Source organism: Homo sapiens, chromosome 8 (assembly GCF_000001405.40).
Source record: "Homo sapiens chromosome 8, GRCh38.p14 Primary Assembly".
NCBI lineage: Eukaryota > Metazoa > Chordata > Mammalia > Primates > Hominidae > Homo > Homo sapiens.
This window is the reverse complement of record NC_000008.11, coordinates 102428072-102450493: the sequence shown is the minus strand read 5'-3', so window position 1 is coordinate 102450493 and position 22422 is coordinate 102428072. Positions and strand designations below refer to the sequence as shown.

General features: G+C 43.1%; 1 long non-coding RNA gene across 1 annotated transcript in view, besides 4 other annotated features; it reads right to left on the bottom strand.

Annotated features, from left to right (window-relative positions):
* Positions 1 to 22422, bottom strand: part of LOC105375683 (uncharacterized) — a 110442-nt gene that overhangs the window by 72287 nt on the left and 15733 nt on the right. Inside the window, exon 2 of the long non-coding RNA NR_168428.1 lies at positions 11657 to 11719. This is a non-coding gene — a long non-coding RNA (uncharacterized LOC105375683). The remainder of the gene's footprint in view (positions 1 to 11656; positions 11720 to 22422) is intronic.
* Positions 12038 to 12585: an enhancer, noted in NCBI's record as "H3K27ac hESC enhancer chr8:103450137-103450684 (GRCh37/hg19 assembly coordinates)". NCBI's record gives its function as "activates a minimal SCP1, AML or CMV promoter by ChIP-STARR-seq in primed H9 embryonic stem cells {active_cell/tissue: H9 hESC(primed)}" and the evidence as "EXISTENCE:reporter gene assay evidence [ECO:0000049][PMID:30033119]".
* Positions 12586 to 13135: an enhancer, noted in NCBI's record as "H3K27ac hESC enhancer chr8:103449587-103450136 (GRCh37/hg19 assembly coordinates)". NCBI's record gives its function as "activates a minimal SCP1, AML or CMV promoter by ChIP-STARR-seq in primed H9 embryonic stem cells {active_cell/tissue: H9 hESC(primed)}" and the evidence as "EXISTENCE:reporter gene assay evidence [ECO:0000049][PMID:30033119]".
* Positions 14466 to 15190: an enhancer, noted in NCBI's record as "H3K27ac-H3K4me1 hESC enhancer chr8:103447532-103448256 (GRCh37/hg19 assembly coordinates)". NCBI's record gives its function as "activates a minimal SCP1, AML or CMV promoter by ChIP-STARR-seq in primed H9 embryonic stem cells {active_cell/tissue: H9 hESC(primed)}" and the evidence as "EXISTENCE:reporter gene assay evidence [ECO:0000049][PMID:30033119]".
* Positions 15191 to 15916: an enhancer, noted in NCBI's record as "NANOG-H3K27ac-H3K4me1 hESC enhancer chr8:103446806-103447531 (GRCh37/hg19 assembly coordinates)". NCBI's record gives its function as "activates a minimal SCP1, AML or CMV promoter by ChIP-STARR-seq in primed H9 embryonic stem cells {active_cell/tissue: H9 hESC(primed)}" and the evidence as "EXISTENCE:reporter gene assay evidence [ECO:0000049][PMID:30033119]".

The following is a 22422-nucleotide window of genomic DNA, read 5'->3' as shown; positions in this document are numbered from 1 at the left end:
GGGAGGCTGAGGTGGGTGGATCACTTGAGCCCAGGAGTTCCAGACAAGCCTGGGCAACACAGTGAAAACCTGTTTCTAAAAAAAAATTTTAAAATTAGCCAGGTGTGGTGGTGTGCACCTGTAGTCCCAGCTACTCGAGAGGCTGAGGAGGGAGGATCTCTTGAGCCCAGAAGGCTGAGGGTGTAGTGAGCCAAGATTGTGCCACTGCACTCCAGCCTGGGCAAAAGAGAAAGAGAGACCCTGTTTAAAAAAAAAAAAAAAAAAAAAAAAAAAAAGTGCTGTTTTCCAAGAAAAGTGAAATATTTTCACCTAAGAATGTCTTATCTTTTCAACTTGTCTAGAATGAGTGAAGGTAATCTATTAGCAGAAGTTTTATCACAAATATCAGGCTGGGCATGGTGACTCATGCCTGTAATCCCAGCATTTTGAAAGGCCGAGGCAGGTGGATCACGAGGTCAAGAGATTGAGACCAACCTGGCCAACATGGTGAAACCCTGTCTCTACTAAAAATACAAAAATTAGCTAGGCATAGTGGCGCTAGCCTGTAGTCCTAGCTACTCGGGAGGCTGAGGCAGGAGAATCACTTGAACCCGGGAGGCGGAGGTTGCAGTGAGCCGAGATCGTGCCACTCTACTCCAGCCTGGCAACAGAGCAAGACTCCGTCTCAATAAATAAATAAATAAATAAATAAATAAATGTGTACTCTCAAGTTGCAATGTTTTAAAATAAACTTCAACTGTTTCATGCTTTCTGAAACTTGTCAATGCTTCCTAAAAATTGTCAAAGCAATTTTCCATCAGAAGTTCTTCACGACTGATTTTTTTTTTAAGTGGGAGAGAACAATAAGTAACAGAATATTGCATTCACTTTGAAGTCCATATCCCACCAAAATTGTATCCTTAAAGCTTTGCAATTTACCTAAGATGCTTTGTAATTTGCAGGTAAGTTTGCACTGATACTGCTTATCACATAATTTTATGAACCTCAAGCTTTTTTTTTTTTTTTTTTTTTTTTTTTTGAGACGGAGTCTCGCTCTGTTGCCCAGGCTGGAGTGCAGTGGTGCAATCTCGGCTCACTGCAAGCTCCGCCTCCCGGGTTCACGCCATTCTCCTGCCTCAGTCTCCCCAGTAGCTGGGACTACAGGCACCCGCCACCACACCCGGCTAATTTTTTGTATTTTTAGTAGAGACGGGGTTTCATCATGTTAGCCAGGATGGTCTCAATCTCCTGACCTCGTGATCCGCCCACCTCGGCCTCCCAAAGTGCTGGGATTACAGGCGTCAGCCACTGCGCCCGGCCGAACTTCAAGCTTTCTATAGCTTTCCAAGTGGAAGCTAAATCATTCTAGTGGAAGCTGAATCATAATCTGGCCAATAGATGAAATGTGATTAATTATTAATAATGATAAAGCTCTTCACTGCACGTTACGATCATTGGTGTCGTTCCTTGATTTACAATGAAATATTAGCACATTTTGTAAAAGATAATAAAAGACTTTTGTTTTGACAATGTTTTAAAATAGTGACAGTTCCAAACAAACAAAACTCACATAGGTATACATAACCGACAACAGTTGAAAAAATCAGACACTAAAAAAGAACAATAGCAAAAAACTGTGTGCACCAAGCCTTGCAAAACTGTGCAGTTGTTGACAAAAACAAATGAGACCACATGGGGAGCAGGCAAAACACCAACTGTAGAACAATGCCAGGTTCACTATCATTTTAGGTGAGATGCTCAGTAATGTCCCTAGTTTTTCTTTGTTTTAAAATTTTGTCTAGATGAAAAGTGGGATATTTTTATGTTTTCTCAAAGCAAAGATTACCATGACTTATATTTTACAATTTGCATAGCTTGTTTGAGAGGCATAATTATCGTTATGCTTCTGGGATGCAGAGCAGGCCCATGGCAATGCCTCCCCAATCTCTACCACTAGCTCATGCCCCTCCCTACGTTGACACCATACAGTCCTTCCAGAAACCAAATAACCACTTAGGCATAAGCTTGGTTTTTAGCATATGATATTTTTCTAAAAGCTTAAGTACTTTATTATCCTATAGTTGAGAAAAGGGGGCAGTGGGGCCAGGCGAGGTGGCTCATGCTTGTAATCTCAGCACTTTGGGAGGCCGAGGAGGGTGAATCACAAGGTCAGGAGTTCAAGACCAGCCTAGCCAAGGTGGTGAAACCCCATCTCTACTAAAAATATAAAAAATTAGCCGGGCATGGTGGTTGGCACCTATAGTCCCAGCTGCTCAGGAGGCTGAGGCAAAGAATTGCTTGAACCCGGGAGGCGGAGGTTGCAGTGAGCCGAGATCGCACCACTGCACTCCAGCCTGGGCGACAGATTGAGACTCTGTCTCAAAAAAAAAAAAAGAAAAGAAAGAAAGAAAAGAAAAGTGGGCAATGGTGTTCTCCTTTGAGGTTAATAACCAGTAAGATTTTATTTTATTTTTTTTTTTCAGATACAGTCTCACTCTGTCACCCAGGCTGAAGTGCAATGGTATGATCATGGCTTACTGCAGCCTCCACCTCCCAGGCTCAAGTGATCCTCCCACATCAGCCTCTCGAGTAGCTGGAACTACAGGCACAAGCCACCATATCTGGCTAAATTTTAAATTTTTTGTAGGTAGGGTCACATTGTTGCCCAGGTTGGTCTTGAACTCCTGGGCTCAAGCTATCTTTCTGCCTTGGCCTCCCAAAGTGCTGAGATTACCGGTGTGAACCACCACGCCTGGCACAGTAAGATTTTAAAGTATGTTTACAAGTACATTTGACAATGGCTTCAGAGAAAAAAATGACAAGATTACAAAAGGAACTGGAAAGGATGCAAAGCCTAGTAGCAAAATATCAAGTGTAATAGTTGCCATGAATGTGCAAATAAGTGACAGGGACATCATAGGAACCCAGAGAATGGTTTCATGAGCAATTGAGGTACTCCATGCAGAGTAAAGAACTTTCAAAGAACTCCTGACCAGTAGTTTGTGCACTGGAGACTGCACAAACTACTTTGCATGCAAATCAAGGGCTCAAAGTCAATAAAATTGATAATGTGTTACAGCTTATAGAAAAATGGAGGACAGTTGGATGTGGAGGCTCACGCCTGTAATCCCAGCACTTTGGGAGCCTGAGGCAGGCAGATTGCTTGAGCCCACAAGTTCGAGACCAGACTGGGCAACGTGGCGAAACCCCATGTCTACAAAAAATACAAAAAACTTAGCAGGCTGTGGTGGCATTTGCCTGTAGTCCCAGCTACACGGGTGGCTGAGGTGGGAGAGTCACCTGAGCCCAGGAGGTTGAGGCTGCAGTGAATGGAAATGTGACAGTGTAAATGGCCACTGTGATCTGTTAATGACTCCTCTTTCTAAAATGTGCATGTAGGTGAGGACTAGGAACAGAGTGATGTCCACTAGGTCGTATGTTCCCAGGTTCTGAGGAAGAGCTCAAAGCTAGTTGGTCTTCCTTGCCCTATAGAGTCTCAATGACCCTCTGGGCCTGGGCATTCATTTGTTGCACAGAGGTTGTGCAATTAGTGTGACCGATAGTGCATGTATATAGCAACCAAAGTGAAAAGCAGCGATCTTAAACATAGACTGATGAATAAAAGAATCTTTTATAAAAAGATGATAAAAATAGAAAAAAGAAACTAAATCATAAAAGAAATAAGACATTCTCAAAAATAGAATTAAAAGCAACAGAAATATAATTTAGATACAGTTGGTAATAAATTGTAAGTATTCATTGCTTATTATAGTTTGTTTTTATTTGTTGCTGTGGTATTTAAGAACATTATAAACATTCAAATTGTATTTAAAATGTTCCTGAATAAAATATTTTTACCTCAGTAGGACACCCCGCAAAGTCAGGATAGTGGTGGCCCATGAGATTGGCCATGACTGGGAAGGGGGCATCAAGGGGCCCTCTAGGGTATTGGCAATGGTCTGTCTCACCTTGGGCTTTTTGCATGGATGTGTTCCAATGGTGGTTAGAGTCTCTGCAAACCAGCTCTGAGAGCCGATTGTTTTAATTTTCAGAGATGTATGAACTGGTTGTTAAACATTGCATCATTAAAAATTAAAGTATAAGGTGAGGTGCTGTGGCTCATGCCTGTAATCCCAACACTTTGGGAAGCTGAGGCAAGAGAACTGCTTGAGCCCAGAAGTTCAAGACCAGCCTGAGCAACATAGAGAGACCCTATCTCATTTAAAATAAAAAAAAATTTTAATTAGCTGGATATGGTGGCATGCACCTGTAGCCCCACTTACTTGGGAGGCTGAGGTGGAAGGATCACTTGAGCCCAGGAGGTTGAGGCTGCAGTGACCTGTGATCATGCCACTGCACTCCAGCCTGGGCAACAGAGTGAGACCGTGTCTCACAAGCAAACAACAACAAAAACAACAACAACAACAAAAAAAACCCCAAGAAAAATTAAAGTATATAAACCTACAATTAAAAGAAGTATGCTAAAAAAAGTCAAAACTTCCTGATTATTTTACTATATGAACTACCATATTGAGTGTGTATATATATATATATACTAGATTGAGGTTATTTATATGTCTTGTATCTACATGATGATAATATATAACATATACAGGTGTTTGTTTGTGTGTTACTGCATATCTCTTCCCACCTCTGTATTCAGTAATGTCATGTTGGTCGTCTGAAATTGGCCATGGTGGGAGTATTTGCACCATAGAAATTGACAAATGCTACAAGCCAGGGCTTGAGTTATTGTTTCCTTGATCTTCTAAACTTAGGAAAGTAGTGGAGAAAATGTTAATAATGCAGATTAAACTTGAAAGTATGTCACATCAGGCCAGGCACGGTGGTTCATGCCTGTAATCCCAGCACTTTGGGAGGCCGAGATGGCCGGGCCAACATGGTGAAACCCCACTCTACTAAAAATACACAAATTAGCCAGGCGTGGTGGCGGGCACCTGTTATCCCAGCTACTTGGGAGGCTGATGCAGGATAATCACTTGAACCTGGGAGGTGGAGGTTGCAGTGAGCCAGGAACGCACCATTGCACTCCAGCCTGGGCAACAAGAGCACAAGTCTGTCTCAGAAAAAAAAAAAAAAAAAAAAAAGTATGTCACATCGATAGCTGTTACATTGTAAATAGCACCAAAAAATGAGGACACATTTTTCCAGTACTTGAAAACTATTATCCAATTCAGCAAAGAAGTTGCTCACATCATTGACTAATGAGTTAAGTTCAGACATACCTCTTGGTTGTTTCATTTTTGTCTTACTCGTTAATATAAAGAAAACTATTAACAAATATTTAATTTGCAATTATATTTATTAGTTGCAACCTTAGGTTGTCTGTGGATACAAGGAGTTGGCAAAAATCAATTCTTCTCCATGACTTTATTTCTACCCCTACCCCTTTGTTTCTGTTCTGTTTTCTGTAATTCTAATTAATGAGATAAAGACTTCATTACTGTACTCTCACATTTCCTTCCTCTGTTTATTTGTTCTGCTTTCTGAGAGATTTCTTCAACTTTACCTCCCAAGCCTTCTATTAAATTCTTAAAGTTTAACAATCATTTAAAGCCAAGGCGGGTGGACCACTTGAGGTCAGGAGTTCAAGACCAGCCTGGCCAACATGGTCAAAACTTGTCTCTACTAAATATAAAAAATTAGACAGGCATGGTGGTGGGCACCTGTAATCCCAGCTACTTGAGAGGCTGAGGCAGGGGAATCACTTGAACCCGGGCGGTGGAGGTTGTAGTGAGCCGAGATGGCGCCACTGCACTTCAGCTTGGGTGACACAGCGAGACTCCATCTCAAAAATAAATAAAAATTAAATTTCCTAAATTTATCTCTTGTTCTCTGATTCAAGCATTGTTACATTTTTCTAGTTTTTAGGGTGGAATTTTTATTTCCCAACTGTTTCTGAATATATAACAGGGTATTGTTTTTAAGTTATCCAATGTTCTCTGAATCATTTGTCTCTTGTAGGGCCAATTTCTCTGTTTAATTTGGTTCTTCTCTTTCTTGCTGCAGCCTTTTCTTGACTGTCTAGTGATCCTGGGTTGCTCATTGATGTTAAAAATTAGGCAATAGGAAAGCTTGTTTATTGGGAGCTTGACTATGTGGATGAGCTTGTGGAAAGGAAGGCTTTGATCTCAGAGGAGTAGTTGGGAATCAGCCAACTTGCTTTGAGACCCCAAAATACTAAAATGCACAGTTCCTACACTGTCATCTAGTTCTCTCCAGACAGGCTGGTCAATTTTCTTAGAAAAGGATCTTCTTATCTATTTTAGCCTCAAGGGTAAACACTAGGCAGCCTGACATTCTGTGAGCAGGGGAAGGAAAGGCGACTGCTCCACAGGCAGACTCCTGTTTTCAGGAGTCTGTTTCCCATTTCACATCTGCCCTCTGTTATACTTGCCACTTTTGGGTCTTTGAGTCTTGGATGTCTCTGAGTTGCCACAGGGAAATCAGCCCCTTCCTCAGTTGAAGGCCACACCTGAAATATTCACAATACAGTTTCCAGCACTGTGCTTTGTCAGCTACCACTCCATTTTCTGCTTTCTGTCTCCAGAAATGTGGATGACCTCTCTCATCAGCTCACTATCTTGAACAGAAGGCTCATTTTTTTTTTTTTTTAATTTTTAGAAACAAGGTCTTACTCTCTGTCACCCAGGCTGGAGTGCAGTGGCACAATCACGGCTCACTGCAGCCTCAAACTCCCAAGCTCAAATGATTCTCCTGCCTCAGCCTCCCGAGCAGCTGGAACTACAGGTGCGCACCGCTATGCCCAGCTAATTTTTTTGTAGAGACAGCATCTCACTATGTTGCCCAGACTGATCTCAAACTCCTGGCCTCAAGCAACCCATCTGCCTCAGTCTCCCAAAATACTGTGGTATTACAGGCGTAAGCTACTGTGCCCAGCCTCAACTCATGTTTAATATTATTTGAGATTTACTCTTCATACAGAGGAATATCTCTTTTGGAAGGGGATAAGAAGAGTTATGGACAGGGAAGTGTTGCTGCCATTATTTTATTTATTTATTTATTTATTTATTTATTTATTTATTATCTTTTTTTTTTTTTCGAGATGGAGTTTTTGTGATTCTCCTGCCTCAGCCTCACAAGTAGCTGGGATTACAGGAATGCACCACCACACCTGGCTAATTTTTGTATTTTTAGTAGAGATGGGTTTCTTCATGTCGGTCAGGCTGGTCTTGAACTCCCGACCTCAGGTGATCCACCCACCTCTGCCTCCCAAAGTGCTGGGATTACAGGCATGAGCCACCACGCCTGGCCTATTTATCTTTTGAGATGGAATTTCACTCTTGTTGCCCAGGCTGGAGTGCAATGGCATGATCTTGGCTCACTGCAACCTCCGCCTCCCGGGTTCATGCGATTCTCCTGCCTCAGTCTCCCTAGTAGCTGGGATTACAGGAATGCACCACCACGCCTGGCTAATTTTTGTATTTTTAGTAGAGATGGGGTTTCTTCATGTTGGTCAGGCTGGTCTCAAACTCCCAACCTCAGGTGATCCGCCCGCCTCAGCCTCCCAAAGTGTTGGGATTACAGGTGTGAGCCACTGCTCCCAGCCTCTATCATTATTTTTTAAGACCTGAGTTATTATTTCTGTAATTATGGATTCATGCAAAGCCTCTCATTTTTTTTTTAATTTATCTATTTGTATGCATCCAAATAAAACAGGCATCATTATTCTTTGTAAACTTATTTTTAATCTACACAAATGAAATTGTGTTAAAGATCTTATTCACCTTTTTATTTTTTTTTCAATCAGCTCAAGCTTATTAATTACATTTTTCAGGCCAGGCCCAGTAGTAGCTCATGCTCAGTAGCTCACACCTATAATCCCAACACTCTGGGAGGCTGAGGTGGGAGGATCATTCAGCCCAGGATTTCAAGATGAGCCTGGGGAACATAGGGACACCTCCGTTACTACAATTAAAAAAAAAAAAAAAAAAAAGGCATGTACTTGTAGTCTCAGCTATTTGGGAAGCTGAGGCTGGTGGATTGCTTGAGCCCAGCAGTTCAAGGCTGCAGTGAGCTATGATCACACCTGTGACTAGCCCACTACATTCCAGCCTGGGCAACATAGTGAGACCCTGTCTCTTAAAAAATAAAATAAAATATCCAACTATAATTGTTAATTCATCTATTTCTATCATTCTTCATTTAATATGTATTTGAAGCTGATTTATTGTTTATATGTACATGGTGGTTATACCATCTTGTATTTATTAACATAGACTATCCTGTACTAACTCTTATGCTATTTTTTACTTAACTTCCATTTTGTCAGATACTAAGATTGCTCCCAGGCCAGGCGTAGTGGCTCACGCCTGTAATCCCAACACATTGGGAGGCTGAAGTGGGTGGATCACTTGAGGTCAGGAGCTTGAGGCCAGCCTGGCCAACATGGTGAAACCTTGTCTCTACTAAAAATACAAAAAAATTAGCCAGGTGTGGGGTCGGACGCTTGTAATCCTAGCTACTTGTGGGACTGAGGCAGGAGAATCACTTGAACCCAGGAGGCAGAGGTTGCAGTGTGCCAAGATCGCAGCAGCCTGGGCAACAGAGTGACTCTGTCTGAAAGAAAAAAAAAATGGCTCCCTTGGCTTTCTTTTAATTTATTTTAAATGTTATTTTATTTTTTTTGAGATGGAGTCTCACTCTGTCGCCCAGGCTGGAGTGCAGTGGCACGATCTCGGCTCACTGCAAGCTCCGCCTCCCGGGTTCAAGCCATTCTCCTTCCTCAGCCTCCTGAGTAGCTGGGACTACAGGTGCCTGCCTCCACGTCCGGCTAATTTTTTGTATTTTTCAGTAGAGATGGGGTTTCACCGTCTTAGCCAGGATGGTCTCCATCTCCTGACCTCGTGATCTGCCCGCCTCAGCCTCCCAAAGTGCGGGGATTACAGGCGTGAGCCACTGCGCCCGGCCACTTAACTTCTTATGATTGCCTAGTATGTATCTGTTTTTATCTTTCTATTTCTAACTTCTCTTTCTGTTTTAAATGCGTCTTTTATGTAAACATCTTTCTTTGAATTCGACGTAGGCATCTCTGTTTTTAATTAGTAACTGTGATGATTAATTTTATGTGCCAGTTGACTTGGACATAGGGTATTTAGATATTTGATCAAACATCATCCTGGGTGTATCTGTGAGGATGTTTCTGGTTGAGATTTACGTTTGAATTGGTAGACTGGGTAAAGCCAATTACCCTCCCCAGTATGGGTGAGTCTCATCCAATCAGTTGATGGCCTGAATAGAACAAAAAGTCTGAGTAAGAGGAATGCCTGCCATCTGATTGCCTTATCAAGGGCATCATGGGTCTGGCTTACGCAGGAAAGACAGCTCATAATTGCAACCTATTGATCCATGCTAAAAGAAAAGATTTCGCTCTACATTTAAAGACTGGTGTTTATATGTTATACATGCTTTTATGTTTTGAGTTAAAATAAAATGTATCTGGTATATCTATGTGTCTTTTATTTTTTTTTCCCCAAAAACTCCATGCTGTAAGCAAGTCTTTTGATTAACAGGCAAACTATCCATCTTGATTGCCTCTGGAAAGAGAGCTTTTCCCGTAAAATAGAGAATCATCAAATGCTTTTCAAAAGCTCTAAACCCCTCTTGTCCCAGGCTTGCGCAGTGGGGTCTTTCACTTTGTGCACTCAGTGGAAAGGTGCCTATTGTGGTGGGTGAGCTTTCCTTACTGTGCTGACCTGTAGCTCTCCAGTTACAGCTCTCTATGTTATATCTGTGAGGAGGTTGCCACGAATTTTCTTTTTTTTTTTTTTTTTGAGGCAGAGTCTCGCTCTGTCGCCCAGGTTGGAGTGCAGTGGCATGATCTCAGCTCGCTGCAACCTCCGCCTCCCAGGTTCAAGTAATTCTCCTGCCTCAGCCTCCCAAGTAGTTGGGATTACAGGCATGCGCCACCGCACCCGGCTAATTTTTGTATTTTTAGTGGAGACAGGGTTTCAGCATGTTAGCCAGGCTGGTCTTGAACTCCTGACCTCAGGTGATCTACCCACCTCGGCCTCCCAAAGTGCTGGGATTACAGGTGTGAGCCACCACGCCCCAGCGGTTGACATGAATTTTCACAGAAATTTTTCGTTTCCAGGTGGGGTAGGATCTGAAACAGTCTCCCTATTGCATAGAAGTCCCTGAATCACTAAGCTGATACATTCCTGTCTACAGCATCTCAGGTTGTTACTGTTTCAGAGGCTGGAAACTGAAATGCTTTAGGGGCAAAGCAGGTAACCTACATGAGAAAAGCAGGAGAAAGGGCCTGGGTGCAGTGGCTCATGTCTGTAATCCCAGGACTTCAGAAGGCTTGAGGTGGGCAGATCACCTGAGGTCAGGAGTTCGAGACCAGCCTGGCCAACATGGTCAAACCCTGTCTTACTAAAAATACAAAACTTAGCCGGGTGTGGTGGCGGGTGCCTGTAATCTCAGCTACTGGGGAGGCCGAGGCAGGAGAACTGCTTAAGCCTGGGAGGCGGAGGTTGCAGTGAGCCAAGATTGTGCCACTGCCCTCCAGCCTTGGCATCAGAGAGAGACTCTGTCTCAAAAAAGGGAAAAGAAAAAGAGAAGTTGAAGAAGACAGAACTGAAAAATAAAGAAGAGCAAAATAAAAATTTTGAGAGGCAGTACAAAAACAGCCTTTGAAATTTTTAATGACTGACTCAGAAAATGTAGTTTTCTAGATTATGGGTACATAGTCTGTTTCAAAGTAAGTTCAATAATATTCAATTACTTTTTATTTATTTATTTTTTCAGATAGAGTCTTGCTCTGTTATCCAGGCTGGAGCGCAGTGCCATAATCTCAGTTCACTGCAACCTTCGCCTCCCAGGTTCAAGCAATTCTCCTGCCTCAACCTCCTGAGTAGCTGAGATTACAGGTGCCCACCACTGTGCCCAGCTAATTTTTTTAGTAGAGATGGGGTTTCACCATGTTGGCCAGGCTGGTCTCCAACTTGTGACCTCAAGTGATCCGCCTGCCTTGGCCTCCCAAATTGCCAGGATTACAGGTGTGAGCCACCATGCCTGGCCCCCAGTGACTTTTTAAATACTGTCTTACACTCTGCAGAGGTCATGAAAATTTTCCACGTGCTTTTGAGGAATTCTTCTTGAGAGATTCTTCTCTGCTCATCAGTGGGGAATTAATTTTGAGTGACTTCCAAATCCCTTTGAGAAAAAAAACTGTGTATATTGTTTTCCACCAATCAATTGCATTAGAGCATTAGTGGGAAGATTTTCGGCAGAGCAAAAATCGAGTGTATTATGATTATTTAAGTGTTAAAAGTTTTAGAGCAACGTTTCATTTTGTCTACAAAGTCTGCCAAACTCTGGCTAAAACAAAGCAAATAGGCCAGCAGTATAAAATTAGGCATCAGTTACATGCCTTTTTAAATGAAAACCTATTAGAAGTAGATAATTGTGTGAGAAAATTAGAGTTGTAATAATAAAAAATTAAAAACTAACTAAAATGCATCAGAACCAAACACCCAGAAAGAGCTCTGCTTTATGGTTCAAGCAAACAATAACCAAAAGTTGTAAAAGTTAATTCTCTGATTACATATATTTGGGGGAGTTATTGAAGTTGCCGAAGATTAAGGATATTCAAACAGTTATTGTTTCGGAGGCTGTCCTGTAATGTTACCTTGTTTGAAGCAGGACGTGATTAGGAGGTGGGTTGTCACTAATAGGAAACAGGCAGCAGCATCTAGAAATAAAATTTAGAATAACGGCAAATCAGTTACAACTTGTATAATTCATGGGTTAATTATTAATATGAAAGGTTAAAATATTTGATATTGTAACCTTAAGTAACTAGATAAAATGAAATGTAACACATAGTAGGGGACTTTAGTTTTTGACATTTTATAACTTATGTGTACTTAAATAAGACTGTTTTGCCATAAACATGGAGTTTTGAGTGATTATTTTAGGCAATAATCCAGGACAGGAAATACAAGATTAGTGTCAAAGTCATATGCCTACAAGGGCCAGGTATAGGACACAGTAAATGAGGGTGGCCTGGTATGAAAGCACAGAGACAGGGACCAACTGGGAGTGTAAATTCCATTAGAAAGGGACAGCTGTTGACAGATGGGAATGTGGGCGACATGATCTCCAAAAATTTTAAGTGACTTTGGATATAGGGATTTTTGTGTGTCATCTCCTGATTTTTAATTTAGCAAATAATTCAATTTAAAACAAAAACCTGCCAGGTGCGGTGGCTCACGCCTGTAATCCCAACACTGGGAGGCTGAGGAGAGTGAATCACTTGAGGTCAGGAATTCGAGACCAGCCTGGCCAACATGGTGAAACCACATCTCTACTAAAAATATAAAAAATTGACCGGGTGTGGTGGTGCGTGCCTGTAATCCCAGCTACGTGGGAGGCTGAGGCAGGAGAATCGCTTGAACCCAGGAGGCGGAGGTTGCAGTTAGCCGAGATAGCACCATTGCACTCCAGCCTGGACGACAGAGTGAGACTCTGTCTCAAAAAAACAAAACAAAACAAAACAAAACAAAACAAAAAACAAACAAAACCTGGCAGTTAGCACTTGTGGAGTTAAATAAAATTAGTCGGCTGGGCACAGTGGCTCACGCCTGTAATCCCAGCAGTTTGGAAGGCCGAGGCAGGAGGATCATGCAGTCAGGAGTTCGAGTCCAGCCTGGCCAATATGGTGAAACCCTGTCTCTACTAAAAAATACAAAAATTTTGTATTTTTGCTACCCAGTGGTGGCAGGCTCCTATAATCCCAGCTACTCAGGAGACTGAGGCAGAAGAATCTCTTCAACCCAGGAGGCGGAGGTTGCAGTGAGCTGAGATTGTGCCATTGCATTCCAGCCTGGGCGACAGAGCACAACTCTGTCTCAAAATAAATAAATATTAAATTAAACAAACAAACAAACAAACAAACAAACCCTGTGAATCCAGCAAAACCTATACTGCCTGGATTCAGCTTGCCAACCATCTCTAGATTACCAGAAGAAGGATGACATTTGTATTAATTAAATGCCAGGTTATATATATAAAATAAGTTTATTTATATTTCAAGTAACTCAATGCACTAGGTACAATCATCTCTATAACACAATGAGGACATTGCGGCTTAGGGAGGTTAGGATAGCATTGACAATCACTTCTGTAGGTAGCAAAATGTCTCATAAGAAAACTAAACAAATCAAGTGATAAATGGACCACAAATGACCTAGCATAGAACTGTTGTTTAACTATAATAGGCGGAAAAATCAGTATGAAAGTGGAATACTGTATTTAAGAGAATACACACTAAGAGAAGACTGCATGAACAATGTAATGCTTTTATTTACATTTTTTTTACATTATTTTTATTTTCCTTGTGCGATTAGGACGTGGAAAGGCTCTCTGCATTTGTGAACTTGATTTCCAGTTCAAAACCCTCAGATTTTACTGAGATGGCTAAACTCGTCCTCTGAATTATGACCCTTTGTTTTTATGCTTTTCTACTCACAATGGAGGTTGGGAGGCACCTCCTGGGATAAGGTGGAGTTACTGCAGGAATTTCCTCTCTCACTGCATTTGAATGCAAAGTTCCACAGCAGGTAGTTTTCAGGACATACTGCTGAGTTGGTGTAACACTTAAAATATAGTAGAGATGCTCTAACCGTATAATTACATTAAGAAGTTGAATTATTCTTTATATTTTCTGAATTTCTAGAATGTTCTACATTTGATATATATTATTTTAAAATCAGAATTAAATGCTACTTTTGAAGTGTGATCGAAAATAGTAGATAGCACATACATTTCAAATGCTAATTGAATGGACTGCAAACAGCTTGGAGAAACAGCTTTCCTGGACAACCTTGGCCACTAAGTGTTCATTCATCCCATGCTTAAATCCTGCGCTCAGACATTTGTGTCCCTACTCAGGCTTCTTGACTTTCCTGGAATTCCATTGACTGGTCTCTTGGAAGACCCATTCTGGATTCATTGTCATTTAAGAATAAGTTTCCCCTCTTCACAGCCTGGACTTCTCCAGGTGCACTGACCATTCTGGGTGTGGAAAATTCCTTCCAAACTATCCTGGTAAAATTCTTTTTCTCCTCTCTGAAACCACCATCCATTTTCCTCTCTTCTGGTTTAGAAGCCATTCACTGAATTTCTATTACTTTTGTGGTTACCGTTAAATTTTTAAGTAAGCACATGTAACTTGACGATGTGTAAGTTAATCATCATTGCCATAGCTTTCCTCCTCTGTGAAACCATACTAGACTGTAGAGTGACTTCACTTGGATTATTCCCCCTCACTTCCATATTGTTCCATAGTTTACTCTCGCTTTTTCTTGTTACGTTGTTTTTATTGTTCTTTTCTATAATTAACACTTGTTGAATTTGCCCAAGTGTTTCCTGATTTCTTTGGTCATCATTGTTTCTTGAGTGTTGCTCTCTCCTGAGTTCAGTGTCCTTCTTCTGAATATACCTCTGTGAGTAGTCGCTACAGTGAGGCTCTCTTGATGGCGAGCTCTCTCGTATGCTTGAAATGTCTATACTTCACTGTTTCTCCACCACGATAGGTAAACTAGGATGGCAGTTATTTTTTCTCAGCACTTTGAAGATATTATTCCATTAGCTTTTGGGTTTTATTGTTGCTTGTCTTGTCAGCCTTTGTAGGTAAATTGTTCTCTAGCTCATACTTTTTGGTATTTTGAAATTTTCTACAACATGTCAAGGTGTAGAGTTAATTTTATTTATTATGGGCCGGGTGCAATGGCTCTCGCCTGTAATCCCAACGCTTTGGGAGGCCAAAGCAGGTGGATTACTTGAGGTCAGGAGTTTGAGACCAGCCTGGCCAACATGGTGAAACCCCGTCTCTACTAAATATAAAAAATTAGACAGGCATAGTGGCGGGCACCTGTAATCCCAGCTACTCGGGAGTCCGAGGCAGGAGAATCACTTGAGCCCAGGAGGCGGAGGTTGCAGTGAGTCGAGATCGCACCACTGCACTCCAGCCTGGGCGACAGAGTGAGACTCCATCTCAAAAAAAAAAAAAATGTATTCTGCTTGGAACTTAGCGTGAACACTAAACTTCTATTGTAATTTCATCTTCAGCTTCAGCAGGCTTTTACCAGGACAGCCTCTGTGCAACCTGAGTTGAAGGTATGTTTTTCAGAAACGTGTGTGTGTGTGTGTGTGTGTGTGTGTGTGTGCGTGTGTGTGTTTGCTTCTGCCAGAGTCCTGTTTTTTTGTTTTGTTTTGTTTTGTTTGAGACAGAAATTTCCTATGTTGCCCAGGCTGCTGGTGGCTCATCTCGAACTCCTAGGCTCAAATGATCCTCCTGCCTGAGCCTCTTGTATAGCTGGGATTACAAGTGCACACCACCATGCTCAGCTCCACATTCTACATTAATGTCATAGCTTGAAGATGTGCGAATCATGGAAGTGGAATAAACTGAGCCCCAAACTCATGTGAGGGCAAGCCATAGTGTGAAATTATCAGATGTGACTTTTTTTTTTATCCCTATCTAAAGTCTAAGCTGAAACAGACAAGCTTCCTTGTCATTTCCCTGTGTTAGTGAGTGGATGTTTTTTAGTTCTTCCCTTCCCTAGGGGCATAACCATTCAAAGTTTTTAGCTACAAGCAGGGGGTCTCAGTTCCAACTCTATGCCTACTCTACTGTCCCCTTGTGGTCATGAAAACCCAAGTGCCCTGATGCCCTAGATGGAGGCTAATACCCACAGCCGAGCTGCTGCAGTGGCAGCCTTAGCCCTTCTCTCTCTAGTTTCCAGTTTCAGCTTTGATTTTGGTCTTTGGAGATTTCCCTTGCTTTCTCAGGGGCTTAGCTACACAATTAAAGGGATGTTTGTTGTGTTTTATCCAGCATTTAAAGAAGTTTGTAGCAGGAAGTTTTTTTTTTTTTTTTTTTTTCAGATGGAGTCTCACTCTGTTGCCCAGGCTGGGGTGCAGTGGCGTGATCTCGGCTCACTGCAACCTCCACCTCCCAGGTCCAAGCGATTCTCCTGCCTCAGCCTCCTGAGTAGCTGGGATTACAGGCCCCCACCATGCCCACCATGCCCACATTGGCCAAGCTGGTCTCCAACTCCTGACCTCAAGTGATCTCCCCGCCTTGGCCTCCCCAAAGTGCTGGGATTATAGGCGTGAGCCACCACGTCTGGCTGCAAGATTTTTATGTTATCCCCCTAATAGTTCTAGAAATGGAAATTCATGCAGTTCTAGTCTTCCTTCTTTTTTTTTTTTTTTCTCTTTCTCCATATTCAAGATGCGGGAGTCTTTGGATTTTTCAGAACAAAGACTCCTCTATCTAGAATATGGACAAGAGTTCCAAATTTGGTTGGCATCCTTCCTACACAATAAATCTCATCGCAGATCTCCTGGATTAAATATTTTATTCCACTTACTGTTAATTATAAAGTACCAGAAGTCACCCCAGGGAATAGATTCCAGGGAAAACACCCCAAATTGCAACCATAATAGGTCTGTTGCCCGATGCACTCAACAAGTCAATTCGTGGAGACACCATGTTACAGCAGAGAAAGAGGGTTCATCATAGGGCCACTGAACAAGGCAACAAGGGGAAACCTCAAATCTATCTCCCCAAGAAGTTTGGGGCTAGAGGGTTTTTTTGTTTGTTGTTTTTTTTTTTTAGTCGGAGTCTTGCTCTGTCCCCCAGGCTGGAGTGCAGTGGCACAATCTCCGCTCACTGCAAGCTCCGCCTCCAGGGTTCACACCATTCTCCTGACTCAGCCTCCTGAGTAGGTGGGACTACAGGCGCCCGCCACCATGCTCGGCTAATTTTTTGTATTTTTAGTAGAGATAGGGTTTCACCGTGTTAGCCAGGATGGTCTTGATCTCCTGACCTTGTGATCCGCCTGCCTCGGTTTCCCAAAGTGCTGGGATTACAGGCGTGAGCCACCAGGCCCGACCGTTTGGGGCTAGAGATGTTAAGAGTTTGGGAGTGGGCCGAAGATGGCAGGGTGAAGTCGTGGGACAGGGATGAAGAAATTGTGTTCTCATGCTGATTTCATTCTTCTATGGGGGTCTTCAAACTGGTTGATGTCAGCTGTTTGGCTGGCATTCAGGATCTGAAAAACATCTTAAGCAATTCTTAAAAGCCTTATGATTCTAATGTCAGAGATCCTATCCATAGGAACAATCAGGATGCAAATGCTCAGTATTAGTGCAGCCTGATTCATGCTTAATTATAAATACATTTTGTCCAGAGTTTTTGTTTGGTTGGTTATTTTTGGTTTGTGTGTGTGTGTGTGTGTGTGTGTGTGTGTGTGTGTGTGTGTGTGTTTATTTTATTTTATTTTTTTGAGACAGGGACTGTTTCTGTTGCCCAGGCTGCAGTGCAGTGGCACAGTCTCGGCTCACTGCAGCCTCTTCCTCTCAGGCACAAGCAATCCTCCCGTCTTAGCCTCCTGAGTAGCTGGAACTACAGGCGTGTGCCACCATGCCCAGCTAATTTTTGTATATTTTTGTAGAGATGGGTTTTCACCATGTTGCCCAGGCTGGTCTTGAACTCCTGGACTCAAGCGATTCGCCTGCCTCAGCCTCCCAAAGTGCTAGGATTACAGGCGTGAGTCACAGAATTTTTGTTAATCCTGTAAGGACAGCTTCAAAGTCTCCTTTTATTCTCATCTTTGCAAGTTCATTTAGAATTTAAAAAACAATTTCAGCCAGGCAGTGACTCATGCCTGTAATTCTAACACCCTGGAAGGCTGAGGCAGGAGGATCACTTGAGCCCAGGAGTTTGAGACCAGCCTGGGCATTATAGTGAGACGTCATTTCTACAAAAAAATAAACAAGATTAGCTGTGTGTGGTGGTGCCTACCTGTGGTCCCAGCTATTCAGGAGGCTGAGGTGGGAGAATCACTTAAATCCAGGAGGTTGAGGCTGCAGTGACCAGAGATCGCACCACTGCACTCCACCCTGAGCAATAGAGCAAGACCTAATGCAAATGACCCTTATTGACATGAAATCTCACCCATATTTTAGAGATTCCCAGGCACTGGGGGAGACAACCCCTTTTATTGGGCTTATTAAAATGAGAGGAGGGCCTAGTTTACAAGGCTGCCTTTAACGCATTGATTTGATTTGCTTTACATTTATTTTGGATGAAATTCACTTCAAAAGTGGGCCTGACAATTCTGTTAAAGGGGATTTTCTTGTCATTAAGGTCAAGAAACATTGCCTTCATTTAGTATAGATCAATTGAAATGACCCAGCTTAGTACTAAAGGAACTGACAAGGAAAAAGATGAGCTTTGATTTTTGTAACATGAGAAACAGAGGAAAGCAAGAGGAAAATAAGAGAGGATCTCAGGAAAGGGGCGGAAGGTAGACACAGACAGGTTGAAGCTTTGGGATGTATAAGAGTTAGGGACCTGGTCGGGCACAGTGGCTCATGCCTGTAATCCCAGCACTTTGGGAGGCTGAGGTGGGAGGATCACCCGAAGTCAGGAGTTTGAGACCAGCCTGGCCAACATAGGGAAACCCCGTATCTACTAAAAATACAAAAATTAGCCAGTCATGATGCTGCACGCCTGTAGTCCCAGCTACTTGGGAGGCTGAGGCAGGAGAATTGCTTGAACCTGGGAGGCACAGGTTGCAGTGAGCCAAGATCATACCACTACAGTCCAGCCTGGGCCACAGAGTGAGACTCTGTCTCAAAAAAAAAAAAAGTTAGGGACCTGCCTGGAATCAGATGGCACTCTTTTTTGAGATGGAGTCTCGCTCTGTCACCCAGGCTGGAGTGCAGTGGCACGATCTTGGCTCACTGCAACCTCCACCTCCCAGGTTAAAGCAATTCTCCTGCCTCAGCCTCCAAGTAGCCAGGAATACAGGTGCCCACTGCCATGCCTGGCTAATTTTTTGTATTTTAGTAGAGACAGGGTTTCACCGTGTTGCCCAGGCTGGTCGCGAACTCCTGAGCTCAGGCAATCTGCCCGCCTTGGCCTCCCAAAGTGCTGGGATTACCGGTGTGAGCCACGGCGCCCGGCTCAGTTACCTCTTTTAAGAGTACCATCTGGGCCGGGCGTGGTGGCTCACGCCCGTAATCCCAACACTTTGGGAGGTTGAGGCGGGTGGATCGCTTGAGGTTGGGAGTTTGAGACCAGGTTGACCAACGTGGAGAAACCCTGTCTCTACTAAAAATATAAAATTGGCTGGGTGTGGTGGCACATGCTTGTAATCCCAGGAGGCTGAGGCAGGAGAATCGCTTGAACCCGGGAGGCAGAGGTTGCGGTGAGCCAAGATCATGTCATTGCACTCCAGCCTGGGCAACAAGAACGAAACTCCATCAAAAAAAAAAAAAAAAAAAAAAAAAAAAAGAGGTAACTGAGGCCAGGCACGGTAGCTCACGCCTGTAATCCCAGCACTTTGGGAGGCCGAGACGGGTGGATCACAAGGTCAGAGTTCGAGACCAGCCTGGCCAATATGGTGAAACCCTGTCTCTACTAAAAATACAAAAATTAGCCAGGCATGGTGGCCGGCGCCTGTAGTCCCAGCTACTCAGGAGGCCGAGGCAGGAGAATCGCTTGAACCCAGGAGGTGGAGGCTGCAGTGAGCTGAGATCGCACCATTGCACTCCAGTCTGGGTGACAGACAAGGGCAAAACTCCGTCTCAAAAAAAAAAAAAAAAGATCTAAAACTAAATTTGTTGTAACTTAGTCTTTTGACAATCCCTTTCAATCTTGTGTCTCCATTTAATCATTAACCTTCCCTCATTGGGTAGCTATAGAGAAAAGAGAGTAAAAACAGAAGAAGTGAAGAAAAGATAAAAAAAGAAAAGGTGTGTGACCTTTTCCTCTTCTCTTAATCACTGAAATAATACACCACTGATTTCCCTATGCATGGGAACTCCAGAACTTGAGCCAGTTCAAGGCAGGTGCCAGAGCAAACCTTTAATCATTGGTTGATTCAATAACCATGTCCTGTAATATTATTCTCAGCATTTGACAATGACATTACTCATAATGATTGGTATCTCTGTGTGAACATGGCTGAAAGACCAAGGCTAGGCTAATGGTCCTTTATAGACTGCACATATAAAACTGATTTTTTTTTTTTTTTTGCGATGGAGTCTCGCTCTGTCACCAGGCTGGAGTACAGTGGTGCGATCTCGGCTCACTGCAACCTCTGACTCCCTGGTTCAAGCGATTCTCCTGCCTCAGTCTCCCTAGTAGCTGGGATTACAGGCACATGCCACCACGCCCAGCTAATTTTTATATTTTTAGTAGAGACGGGGTTTCACCATGTTGGCCAGGATGGTCTTGATCTCCTGACCTCGTGATCCGTCCACCTTGGCCTCCCAAAGTGCTGGGATTACAGGCATGAGCCACCACGCCTGGCCATAAAACCGATTTCTAGTCTGTGGAAACAGCCACTCATTAAAGCATCTGGTGCCATTTGTGCACCCGCCTATTTTGCCTAGTCATTTCCCTTCTGCAAAACTCATCATCCATTTCTGATTACAGAATACTAGGTTAGTCTGTCTGCCCTTGTTTCTAGCTAATCACAAGTAGGATGTTCTGATTCTGCTAAATACCAAGGAAAATCAGGAATACAGAAGTCATAGGCTCTGACCACAGTAATGAGTGTAGGGTTTTACACATTAAGTACTCAAAACATCTGTTGAAAGAATAAATACATGTTTTTGAGAGTTGTCTTTACTACTCCAAGGTGAAAGGGTGTAGTGATAATCTGAGAGAATTTAAAAGCAATATTGGGGCCGGGTGTTGGCTCACACCTGTGATCCCAGCACGATGGGAGGCCGAGGCAGGTGGATCACCTGAGGTCGGGAGTTCGAGACCAGCCTGACCAACATGGCAAAACCCCGTCTCTACTAAAAATACAAAATTAGCTGGGTGTGGTGGCGCATGCCTGTAATCCCAGCTACTCGAGAGGCTGTGGCAGGAGAATTGCTTGAACCCGGAGGAGGAGGTTGCGGTGAGCTGAGATCACACCACTGCACTCCAGCCTGGGCAACAAGAGTGAAACTCAGTCTCTAAATAAATAAATAAATAAATAAATAAATAAATGCACTATTGGGATAATAACAGTATCTGCTCAAAGGTGTTGTTGAAGATGGAATGAACTAATATTGTGAAAATGTCCATTAAAACTTTAAAACCCTGGCTGGGTGCAGTGGCTCATGCCTGTAATCCCAGCAGTTTGGGAAGCCAAGGTGGGCGGATCACCTGAGGTCAGGAGTTTGAGACCAGCCTGGCCAACATGGCAAAACCCCATCTCTACTAAAAATGCAAAAATTAGCTGGGTGTGGTGGTGGGCACCTGTAATCCCAGCTACTTGGGAGACTGAGGCACAAGAATCGCTTAAACTCAGGAGGTGGAGATTGCAGTGAGCCGAGATCGTGCCACTGTACTCCAGCCTGGGCAACAGAGTGAGACTCTGTCTCAGGGAAAAAAAAAAAAAAAAAGGCCAGGTGTGGTGGCTCACGCCTGTAATCCCAGCACTCTGGGAGGCTGAGGTGGACAGATCATGAGGTCAAGAGATCAAGACCATCCTGGCCAACATGGTGAAACCCCGTCTCTACTAAAAATACAAAAATTAGCAGGGTGTGGTGGCTCGTGCCTGTAGTCCCAGCTACTCAGGAGGCTGAGGCAGGAGAATCGCTTGAACCCAGAAGGCAGAGGTTGTAAGTGAGCCGAGATTGTGTCACTGCACTCCAGCGTGGCGACAGACTCCTCTGTCTCAAAAAAATAAAATAAAATAAAACTTTAAAGGCCTATACACACGTTAATTAGCATCAGTATATGGGATATAAATATTATGGATAACTAGTCCAAAGATTAGGAGTCAAATATCTGCTCTTCCCCAATGGTCCCTAATTGTGTGACCTTGGGAAAGTTACTCAGAGTTGCTCTCTCAGACTTATTTTTCTCATCTGTAAAGTGGGGATATTCACACAGTTAGGTTCTTTCCATGTATAGATCAGAGAGTTAGTTAGTGCAAAATGCTTCAGAAATTGTAAAACATGATGTAGATGTTGATTTTTGTTTGTTTGGGTGATTAGTACATGATCCAGTGGACAGAATGCCAGCAGGATACACACTATTACCCCAAGAGTGACAATTTTAAAAAATACACTTCTCAGAAAGTGTATCCATTTGGGGTCCATGCATACGGTTGTTGAATCTGTGGACCCCTCAAGGGATCCACTGCCCTCCAGCCTGGCTGCCAAAGTGAAGTGTTCCAGCCACTGAGGCAGACAGAATTAAATCAACCTCATCGTAAGTATCAGGAAAACCGTCTCCCAACCAGCTCTTTCCATGACTTCTAATGGATAGCAAAATTGGAAAATTTGCATTCCCCGTGGGTTTGATAGTGATAACACTGGACAGAGAATTGTGAGCTGAGTTCAAGGCCCAATTGTACTTGCTGATTGTGTGAT